The sequence below is a fragment of the Homo sapiens genome, chromosome 11 (genome assembly GCF_000001405.40).
Source record: "Homo sapiens chromosome 11, GRCh38.p14 Primary Assembly".
Lineage (NCBI taxonomy): Eukaryota > Metazoa > Chordata > Mammalia > Primates > Hominidae > Homo > Homo sapiens.
The window spans coordinates 97,884,525-97,896,899 of record NC_000011.10 but is presented as its reverse complement, the minus strand read 5'-3'; the positions used below and the strand labels follow the sequence as shown (position 1 = coordinate 97,896,899).

General features: G+C 34.7%; 1 long non-coding RNA gene across 1 annotated transcript in view; it reads left to right on the top strand.

Annotated features, from left to right (window-relative positions):
- The window catches only part of LINC02713 (long intergenic non-protein coding RNA 2713), a 78,303-nt gene that overhangs the window by 60,184 nt on the left and 5,744 nt on the right, over nt 1-12,375 (top strand). The window contains exon 5 of the long non-coding RNA NR_183633.1: nt 5,608-5,812. This is a non-coding gene — a long non-coding RNA (long intergenic non-protein coding RNA 2713). The remainder of the gene's footprint in view (nt 1-5,607; nt 5,813-12,375) is intronic.

Sequence of the window (12,375 nt, the reverse complement as noted above, 5' to 3'; positions counted from 1 at the left end):
ATTCATATGAAGAGATACATAGTGCAAGGTTCAGAAGGGTCCCATGGAGTTGGTGTGTGCTATCCTCCTGGCATGTAGACACATTCACCAGACCAGAAGCACTCTCAGTCATTTAAGTTTTTGTGGAGGTTTCATCATACAGGAATGATAGATTATTAACTCAGTCTATAGCACCTCTCTCCTTCCTAGAGGTTAAGCCGGGAGTGGGTGCGAGGAGAGTTAATGCCTGAGTGGGGGGTGAGCCTTGCCAAGAGGTTGCAGGGAAGGGCTGAAAGTTCCCAGCTTCTAATTAAGGTTTGGTCTTTCTGGTGACCAGCCTTTATCCGGAAGCCAACATAGGGGCCTTACAAGAGTCTCCTTTTTAGAACAAAATATGTTCTTATCACTTACAGAATTCCAAAGGATTGGAGGTCTGTGTCAGGAACTGAAGGCAAAAACCAAATGTTAACAAAAGATGCTCCTGGCACTGCTGTCTCTCAGGAGATCTCAAGGGTTTTAGGAACTCTGAGTCAGGAACCAGGGATGAAGACCACATAGATATTTTTAATTATACCACAGTAGCACAATTATAAAGCATGCTTCTTAGCCTTGGCACATAGGAGATATTATCAAATGCCACTTACACCTCCTATTTGCATATTTTCATTTTCATTTAAATACTTCATCATAACTGAGGGACACTTTGGGAATTTAGTTATTCCATTAATCGAATTTTAGTGGTTTCTAAATCAGATTTACTAAAGGTATGCTTTAGAATATGAACATTTTCCTCAGCTGCTAAACTAGTCATAAATGTCTTATGGTTACAGCTGTAATCCAGCATAAAATCAAGAAATCAAGAAAATGAATTTTAAAAGATTTTTTAAAAAATAAAGACCATAAGTACCCAAGTTATTAGATTTTTCCACTATAATTTTATTAACTAATAACCTTATATGCTCAAGTTAGCTTTTTAACTCAGATTGCAAATAGTGGAGGAAGAAAGAAACTATTCTAGAATAAAAGAAAATCAAAATACAGGGTTGTAAACACACATGCTTGCGAACAAACATTAGTTGTGAAATCCTTAGCAACAAGTCTCTGGGTTTCTCTCTTTCAGCACACTTATCAGGTGCCAAAGAATAGACTGAAATAGTAGAAGTGCACACACGCTGGCAAGGGCTGGCCCACTCTGACCAGGCAGATATTGCTAGATTGTAATATTTGAGGTCAAATTTCAACCTATGGTACAAAACTATTCTGTGGATCAGTCAGCAACTTCAAAACTCTGAGAGAAACAAAAATCAAAGAAAAAGAAAAAAAAGAAATAATACCGTGAACCTGTTTCACTGAGAATAAAGAATGTAAAGAAAACAAAGGAAAAACTAAAAGCTTGTTCTATCACAGGTATGAGATGCTATGATACATGAAGCCGATTCCATGAAGTATGTTTTAAAACCTTGTTATCACTGAAGTGTCTTTACAAGCTGATTTAACTGTTTCAGGCCAACCACAGTGCACACACCATCTCTGTGAGACTTCCACCTAACCCCAGTTGTAAGGGAAATGAATGGTGTGCATTTTACGTTAAAGGACAGTCTGCAATAATAAAGTAAATAAGCCAACATGGGTTCCACTGTAAACTTTGGAAGCATAATTTATGCAACAGATGTTTAGATATCAATCTATTTATGGAAAAAGATTCTATGCATTTTACAAATGCTTTTACCATCCTTTATTAAAATAATCTTTGACAGGTGTTCACTGATTTGTCTCCAGTGCACATCCCAAGCTGATTTTATTCATATATCAGTAGTGTGAATCCGCTGGCACAGTGTGTATATATGAGAAATGTGATAAGATTTTACCTTATAAATATAATCAGATAAAATAACTCCTGAGAGAAGCTATTAAAACCAGCTGAATGTTAAACATGATGGCTGATGTTGCATAATTTATTGTAACATATCATTTTACTCAATGAATAAACCATTAAAAAGTGAGAAAAAAACAAATTGAAAATATTCGACTTTGACAAATGATAATGTTTGTTTTACTGAAATTATATCACCAATACTGGATGTATTAAAAGGAAGAATTTGCATTTTTTATAGGTTTTTTTAATTTGGTTTTCTTAGTTTTTGAATTGAGATTTTTATCTAGCATGAAGGATCACAGCTGAAACACTGATACTTAGAACATTCTTTTGAATTCAACATAACTATATTACCGTGTGCCACATTATATTTGTTTTCCGCTTTTTTTTCTAGATTCAAACTAATATGAATCATTTATTGATACATTGTGCCAAACATCATTTGGTTTCATTTGTTGATGTTGGAATTATATAATTATATACACAAAGGCAAATGCTGCCACTGAAATCTAATAACTATAGTGTGTAATTTTTTTAATCTGATTTTTTACATAACGTAAAAATGTATGGAAACATCACATTATACGCGATTAATATGTACAATTGTAATATGCCAATTAAAAACAAACTTTAAAAAATATATTTGAATAAAATCGCAAAATTATACACACATGTACATAATATTTTATGAGACCTGCAGAATGTATCTGCAGATCTTCAGTTTGAGATACGCACAACAAAAAAATGTCAGAAATTAGTGTTGTTCTACGAAGTGAGTATGGAGTAAGTGCAGACTTAGTTCGTCAGGCAAAGATACTGGTTAAGGCTAATGTTAGGTCGTAAGCATATCAGTACTAAAAACAAGGGCCATGTTTGTAACTGGAAAAGAAGTGGTGACAACATCAACAAAGGACATAGGAAAAAATGCCAGTTGAAATGACCAAATTTAATATTTGTAGATAATAAGAGTGTGACCAAAAATGTTTTTTTTATTCAAGGCAAACATGCAGTTCTGTTTAGTGCCTTAAAGGTGGCCTTAAAACTGAGATATAAATATTTATTTTCATTTCATCCCCAAATCAAACTAAAATGAAATAGTTCAGATAATGAAATATAGTAATGGTTAATACAAGTTCCTAATAGCAGCAAAATTAAAACCATATCTAACATAAATCAATTCTTTTTTTCTGGCAAGTAAGTGGACGTAGCCTTGGGACCCAAGAGGGTGGCACCAGGCCAGTTTTATACTCATTCTGGACATGTGCAGCAGATGGCATGGCAGCTACTCCATTTACACTGCAATGATCCCATTATCATTTTATTTTTCTTGGCACTGGGATAACGTATAAGGTAATTTTAATAAGCATTAGAAAATGCTTTCATAAATTATATACTTGATAAAGGCATAAAATATATAGTTGCATATAAAAGATACATGCCCTTGGCCATGATTATACATTTTCAAATGAAAAAAATATATACACTTTATAAAGAAATTTTTTTTAATTACTCCTAAATACATAATTTTCGTTGTAAGCCATTGTTTAACGTAACATCAGGAAATTATCAGTACTTCAGAAAAAAGGAGTAGAAAGCAATTTTCTGGCAGCATTGACAGAAAAATTAGTAAGAATATTAGATATGGTCTATGTGATTATTTCTATACTGAATGTTTCTGCACCATTACAATTCAGGTATTGAGATGTAGAAAAGATTTATCATTTAACGTATCAGTTGTTAAATATTTATTGTAAAAATTAACTGCGTTTTTAATGCACCTGGTCATATAATAGATTCTCTGAAAAGTAGAGAAAATATTTCATGTTTCTTCAAATTTCTAATACATTTCATGAAAAAATTAAAATATTAGCCCAGAAAAATTATATTTGTGCACATTACAGGAAATAATTTTACATTTGCAGGTGTAAGGAAAATTAGTTAGACAAATAATTATTTCTATGAATATAAATCAATTATTTTAAAAACTTTCCTCTAATAAAATAACAATGCCAAAAATACTTTCTTCTCTTTTTTCTTCCAAAGAAAGAGACATAATTAAGCCTTCCTTAGACATTATTTCACCTGACTAAAGAATATCAAAAAATAAATACTATCATTTTAAGAACTTCAGAAACCACTCTGTTAATTAAAATATTGATTTGGTTTAAGGATGAATAATAGAACAGTCTAATGGTTGAATGAATGGAACAAACTTTCCCACAAACTGCATCTTTCAAATAAAAATAAATTCAGAACTTTAATCCAGTGTTGAGATAAGATGGGACATTATGGAATTTTGTTTTGATTTTTTCTTCTTTCTCTGAATAAGGACTTTTATAAATGACTAGGTAACTAGTGAGTATTGAAGATGGTGGAACATGAAGGTTGAAAAGACACCAAAGAGGCTGGTATTATTGTCAAGAATTTTGGCTCAAATGACTAATGAATGATGGTTTAGCCAATAGAAAGTGAGTGTAACAGAAAGATAAGTAAATTTGAGAACTAAATAAAAGATGTGCTCACTTTTGGACATGTTTAGTTGAGGTACCTGTGGGGTAGTCACATGAAGATGTCTATTAAGAGTAGGAAATCTGAGTCTGAAATTTAGAAAACAGGTCTTGTGTGGATATAGTAGAACTGAGAGGCACAAAAATATGGTAAGTATCTGGGAGCAGATACTAGGCAATACAGTTAAGTAAAATAATAGAACTGTTAGATGGTAGATAATCTTAACAATGGAAGCAATATAGTCCAAGGACCATATGCATCAGAATCATCTAAGCTATTTTATGAAGACTCAGGTTAACGTGCCATCTCTTTGATCTATTTTAGTGACAGGGCTCAGGAATCTGCTGTTTTTTTGTTTTGTTTTGTTTTTAAGGGGCATCTCTGGTGAGTCAAGGTAGAGTAAAGCTTGTGATCCATTGATTTAACTGGACAATAGAAGACAAGACCAGAAATAAACATGACATAGTGTAAAGGTAAAGAAAATGTGAAGAAAACCAGATCACAAACACAGGTACAAGATAATCGCAAGAAAAAAATGGCTGATGAGTTAATACTGTATGCTGCATGGAGGTCAAATTTAAAAACTGAAATTTTCTGGCCGGGTGTGGTGGCTCATGCCTGTAATCCCAGCACTTTGGGAGGCCGAGGGAGGTGGATCACAAGGTCAAGAGATCGAGACCATCCTGGCCAACATGGTGAAACCCCATCTCTACTGAAAATACAAAAATTAGCTGGGTGTGGTGGCGCATGCCTGTAGTCCCAGCTACTTGGGAGGCTGAGGCAGGAGAATCACTTGTACCTTGGACGTGGAGGTTGCAGTGAGCCGAGATTGTGCCGCTGCACCCCAGGCTGGCAACAGAGCGAGACTCCGTCTAAAACAAAACAAAACATGGAAATTTTCCTACTATAATTAAAATCAGGCATTGGTTTCTTATTTATTGGTATCAATTGGTAGTATTATTACAAGAAGTTTCAGTGGAACAGTGGGAGAAAACAGTGAAGAGTAAGATGAAGAAGTTGGAACAACTGACATGGATATCTTTGTCCATAAATTATAAATTAAATGACAACTTTTATTTTTCAAGAGTAAAGAAACCCATGCAAATAAGCTGAATAATATATACTCTTCTTGACATCAAACAATAATTTAACCGATTTATCACTTTTGTAACTCAAAATTCCACACTATACTTCCTCGTTCATGTAGTATACTTAAATGAACATGTTCTTTTCTCCCTTTACAGGGTGGGGCAGTAGGAGACACTGAATTCACATATCATTGAAAACCAAAATATTAGAAGAGCTTAAGTTTTAAAGAATGCTGGCAAATGTTTAAGCGATCAGCACTGCTGGTTTACTATAAACATAATGGACTACACGTTGAGTACCTTGACATATGAGTAAATTCATATAGTACAAATCATTCAACACACATATCTTGAGAACAAGGTAAGTCTCAGAAAGGTAGCTACAACATAAATGTTTGTCTGTTGTCACTTATTAATGAGGCCAACAATCCCCTGTACACGAGTCTTTTGTAAAGTTTCTGCTGAATGCTTTGTGCTATTGAGTTTCTTGCTCAATACAGATGATTTGGGAATAAGCAAATAAAAGTCATTGTTGTCTTCACGTAATCATTTTTCTGGTGCTTGATTCCCTCTGCCGCTACATCTTTATTGTGTTTGGGCATTGAGGGTAGAAATAATTAAAATGATTTTTATTTTCTGTGCTCACTGTGTCTAGAAACCATCAAATTAATATTAAAAAATGCTTTCCAGTGTTGATGTTTGCTGAAGAAGAAGAAGGAGGCTTTTGTAGGAGGCTTTTGTAGATGGGCTTTGTTATCAAAATAATGAAAAAGAGTCTATTGTTTGGAGCATTTGCTGCTCATCCTTAAATTAGTAAACGTATTCAAGGCCATTCAAACTTGAGGAAAACTGCTTTATTTGGGATCTTCATAGAAGCTAATGGAAAGCTTGGCTGAATTAATTACTATACAACCTATTCATATAGATGAGGCCAGGGAAAGTAAATATTTTAAACATTAGATTTTTTTTTCTTCTTGCAGATTATTGTGTATCTCAATATTAAATAAAGATTTTGAAAAAGTATTGTATTTTTTTGCCATCTTGGGATTCTAACAGTGAAGCAGATGCATTTGGTCATCACATCTGCTTTAACTCTGAAGTAGGAAATGCTTATCATTATCATTTTATTACCATTATTATTATTACTGACAACTCACCCTTATTGGATACTGCTAAACCCGGCCACTGTGCTAAGTGTTATACAGCAGTGTTTAATTTAATTCTTGTTGCACCAAAATGAATACCTTTGTTTTGCTGATGAAGGAACCTAAGAACAAACATATAAAGTAATTTGCCTTAGATACACACCTAATACGAGACAGAACCAAGATGAGAACTAGTTTTATCTCAACATTGAGCTTGAGCTTTTAACCATGATTGCTTTCTGTTTCTGAATGAATGTGGTATAAAGTGCAGCCCAGAAGTGAGATGCCTCCACAGGTAAAAACGCAGTGCCATTGTCTTTTGTGCAGAATAAAGAGCATCAATAGCTTAGGCTGTTTATAAAAGTTAACATATTTTTGTGTGGATTTGTGTAAAGTGTGTGTGTATGTGTGTTTGCACATAGAAAGCAAGAGCAGTGTAGTAGTTCCTAAGCCATATTTGCAAATATAGGCTAACGTGTAAAGAGCCAAGGCTGATGACCAAAAAAAAAAAACAAAAAAAACAAAAAAAAAAAGAAAAAAGAAAAAAAGATTTTAGCCAAGAACTAAAATTATAAGAATAATTGTATGTGAATACAGTTCCCCTAAGAAAGTTACATATAACACTAATTAAATACTCTTTGTTAAGACCTGGAGCCTAGAGCACAGTGTAGGGGAAAAGATGTTCTTCAACCCTCATGTTCAGTGACTGGACTAAGAATTAAACTTACATAAAACAGATTAACAGGAGAAAAGGATACAAATTGATTTAACATTTTTACATGTACATAAGAGTCTATAGAAGTGAGATAGGAATGTGGCAGGACTAGTTAGTTTCCAGTAACAGGTTATAAGACCCCACAGGAGACAGGAGACAGTAAAGAAACTGACCAAAACCAACTAAAACCAAGATAATGAAGGAAGCTACCTCTGGTTACTTTCACTGCTCATTATATGCTAATTATAATGCATTAACATGCTAAAGAACACCCCCATCAGCACCAAGACAGTTTATAAATGCCATGGCAGTGCCCAGAAGTTAACCTGTATAGTTTGGACGGGGGAAAATACCTGGTTCTAGGAACTCCCCACCTCTTTCCCAAAAAACTCATGCATAATTCACCACTTATTTGGCATATCAAAAAAAAAAAATATATATATATATATATATATATATAGCCACCTACGGATTAGCCACCCTTTATTCCTTTATTTTAATAAACTTGCCTTCACTTTACTCTGTCAACTCTTTATTGAATTATTTCTACCGCAAAGCCAAGAACCTACTTAGCCTCCTGAGTTGAGTCCCGGTTTTGGGGTTCACCCTGCAACAGAAAGAAAGTGAAGACCAGAAGAAACCATTATGCCTGAAAGCTTACATTTTGTTTTTTACATAAAGAATGATAAATTGTGGGGATATGATAAGATAAAGGGGCTTGGGCCAGCAGCAGTAAATTGTGGGCTAGTGACTAGGAAATATAATGAGGATGAGGAGGAACTAATGGAAGATTGTTATTTTAACAGGTTTGTTTGCAGAAGTCCATTTTGGCATCATATTACAGTGTCTAGAGATAACAATGTTATCCTTTTCCTGGTACAGGGAAATTTTATGGCCTGCTTTTAGGTAGAAGGGGGAAGGTCAGGGAGCCCTTCCTGAATCTGGCTGTATCTCAGTGCCTTCAGCTCAAAACAATCCACATGCCAAAGCAGCATGTTTTGAGGTGATGTGTTCTGAACCCCTTCAACAGAAAAGGTATAGAGGTATCATACATAAAATAAAAAGAACACACTCCTATTCTAGGTAAATTATCTGATATCTCAGATTGACAGTCGAGGTTCCTATCAGTTGATAGGTTATAAATAAAAATAATTTTAAGACCATCTCAGTTTAAGAATTAAAATATTCCACATCATGTGAAATGAAGGAGTTTAATGGGATATTTTGGTCTGACATATCACCTGCTTGAATTTGACAGACAGGGTAATTTATTTGGTCTGAGAATGAGGAAAAAATATTTTTGTTTTCAGTCTTCACCTACTCTTCTCCTTCTCCTTCCTTTAGTTGTTGTGGAAAGGAATGGAGTAATTATACTTAAGTTTGCCCTTATGTAGCATTGGTGCAAAAACTGCTTGGATCAAAATAAATTTTTAGGAAACAAAATTAGTGTTTTTGTTTGAGCATTTCCAGAAGTAAAAATTTAAGTAAAAGAGGTTTACTTGAGAGATGACAGAAAATTCCAATAGGGGAATAAAAAATTAGACGAGGAAGTAAAGGCAGACAGGAAAGGGTGTCCTGCCAAGCCAGCTACCGCTGTGGGTTCCTGGAACTTAATCCTACTGGCAAACTTCATGGAGTAAAGCATACAACACATGGCTAAGATTTATCTCACCTGAAATATGAGGAAACTGAAGAATATATATACATATATATATAAATATATATACATATATATATATCAAATTTCTTTAGTCATTGGCTGAAGGTTCTTGGTGGTAGGGAAATAAAGCAGTATTTGCTTTCTTATCTTAGGGAAGATTTCTTCTGCAGAAGGCAGAGATGTTTGTAGACAATTGCCTTTCTGAATTGTAGTGACCAAAGTTTAAAACAACTAGAGATATTATGACTGGTGTCCTGAGAATGTAGCAAAGCAGTGTCCAGCATCAAGAGGAAATCCAGAGCTGGGAGTTAGAAGTTAGGTTGGCGGGCACTGAAGTGGTAAGGACAGGAGAATATGGACAGGGCATACACAGTGTCTGCTAGAATTCATGTTAAAATTTCATATGTAAAATATTAGTCTATAGGGTAGGGTTTTTTAAATTAAAAGATTTAGTATTTGTCAGAATCTAGAACTTTGAAGGTTATCGATTAATCTAGTTTACTCTTTTTTCTTTCTTTTCTGATTCTGCCCTTATAAAATTGAATGGAATCAGCCAAATTTTTGCAACTGCCCAAAGAAATAATCTGGAATTCCTTAAACCTTCGGGTTCTTCTCAGTTCCTAACACGAGTTTTTAATTTCTAGGAGCTCAGAGAGCCGATGTCCAGGTTTAAAGCCCCATAGTAACTAGAAAGCTATGAAGCACACATAGCTTCTTTCTATGAAGTTCACATTCTCTTGTATTTCCGATTTAAATTATATCACAGGAGATTCAGTTATGACAACTATTACACTGAATGTTCAAATAGGCTGTTTTTGATATTAATAAAATTTAAAAACTAATAAAATTTACCATCCAAAATATTCTTGCTTCCACCCCTTTCCTTAAAACTTTTATTATGAAATGTATTGCCTGCAAGGAAACACTTGGTGTGGTGTCTGAGGGATAGGTGAGCACAAGGACACTGTGAGATATATAGCCCACCTACCTTTATTATATGTAAAAACAGTGAAAGAATGTAATTGGGAATGCAGTTGGTTAAGCACTGACTTAAGACCTTTTTGATTTTGGCCCAGATAGTCAAATTATTTATGAGAAGCAGAGTATTTCTGTGACAGATATTGCTCAATAATAGTCTTTAATGACAATTACGAGGCGGTCCAGTTATTGCTACCTCTACTCAGATAGTGAACATGCATTATGTTTTGTATTCAAAAGGTACTTTGTTGGGAGTAGTGGCCATTGACCTTCCTAACTGGATTATTTGCTAGTAAGAAGTATTTTCATGATTAAAACAAGATGTACCATGGGAACACTGGCATACAAATATATTTTTTCATATCTTTATCTCATTGTTTTCCTTCTGAAGAAAAAGTTCTCAATCTAATATGCATAAATGCTTCTGTATATATCTAAATCTTCTGTCACACAGCTGCATTCAAAATCAGTAATCAGGAATTGTTAGATATACTTATGAAAGTTGCTTTGTTCTTCTGTGCTGAATAGGTGCTTTACTGCAAAAGAAAAGTAGATATGAAAAAAAAGGCTATGATTTTGAGAAAAGACAACATGGAAGAAACGAAGAAACCTAATGTTTAAACTCCAGCATCACCTAAGACAGGAAGAGAAGTTGATGGGTGACCTGAAGGTTTACCACCGTTACTGTCATCCTCCATTTTATTCAGTACTATGAGAAATTAGGCAAAATTGAAGTGCCCAAAATTTATCTTAATTATTGGGAAAGTAAAGGTCTAGAATTGAAATCAAATACAAGCATAGATCCAAAGCAGAAAAAGATTGGTGGTTTATTTGAATTACTTACATAAATTTAGTGATTTTTGTATTTAGAAAACAATCCTCTGTAATAAAATCACTACAGAATGCAAGTATGGATTAATAGCATTTAATTACATTATTAGTTCAATTTAATTAAATAACCCTGTTTAGTAAAGTCAACTTTAAAGGTTTGAGAGTAAGATAGCAAATCAAAGCTCCACAAACTGGTATGCAAGAAGATTTGCACGACTAGGGGGTCTGGGTATGAAGTGGGGCAGCTAGTAACTGCATTCTTTAATAACAAGGGTTATGTAGCTCAAGGCTAACTAGACTATCAGCTTCTAGCACAGTGCTTTCCTTGTACAGCATATGGACTTAACGATCAAATGATGCATGGTGAAACATTTTTGATTGGACTTTAATTTGTCAAAGATTTTTTTTTCTTTAGTGTATCTTACCAGTTGTTATCAGATACCACTTAATTTTCTTTAGATTTTCACATTATATACCTCAATAAAAATAACCATTTAAACCATTCAAACTGTTCTTTCCCTGGTTCCGGGGAATGTTTCTCAAATGTTTATTAACAAGAGAGCTATTGTGAAGATGATTTGTGAAGAGGCTCAGAGAATCAATAGGTTCCTTAGTGAAAAAGAAGCATCTGCAAAAGACAGAAGGGGAATAGGTAAAATAACTTCAAGGGCAGACTGAAGGCTGCCTGGCTTGTGGACCTGAAGCTTTATCTATTGCTCCTTGAAATTATATATGTGTGTGTATGTGTCTTTGGGTGTGTATATATCTTCACCAAATCACACTGTCAAATGTGAGTGAATTAGTTTCTTTTGTTTTCCTCTACATATTAGGTTGGTGCAAAAGTAATGGCAAAAACCACAATTACTTTTGCACCAACCTAATATTTTTGTTTCTCTCTTTCATACTGTATTTAGGCAAGTGTCTCGTTTGTGCTTTCTTGCCTTAGAGAAGGTTTGTGTCTTGGCAGAAGGCAGAGGTGCCTGTAGGCACTTTCTTTTCTGGCTTTTGTTTACACATGTTTAAAATAATTGAAGAGGTCAGCGAGGTAGCTCATGCCTGTAATCCCAGCACTTTGGGAGACTGAGGCAGTTGGATCATCTGAGGTCAGGAGTTCGGGACCAGCCTGCCCAACATGGTGAAACCCATCTCTACTAAAAATACAAAAATTAGCCGGGCATGTTGGTAGGCGCCTATAATCCCAGCTACTTGGGAGGCTGAGGCAGGAAAATCACTTGAACCCAGGGGGTTGAGGTTGCAGTGAGCCGAGATCGCACCACTGCACTCCAGCCTGGGTGACAGAGCAAGACTCTTATTTCAAAATAAATAAATAAATAATAAATGAAATCATTGAAGAGATTATGATTTGATTTGTGTTATGAATACCTAGGAAGATAGATTTTGAGGAACAGAGAAAGGACTGCAAAATAAATACTAAGAAAGAGAAATTCACATCAGGTTAAAAATACTCCTGCAGAGTGGCTATAGGATATCTTGAAAATGAGAGACTGGGGAGGAAGTCTAGGCCTTAAGACTCCCAGCAACACCAAACTAATTTATGCCTCAATTATTACATGGAAGCAATGGAGCTGGTGGAC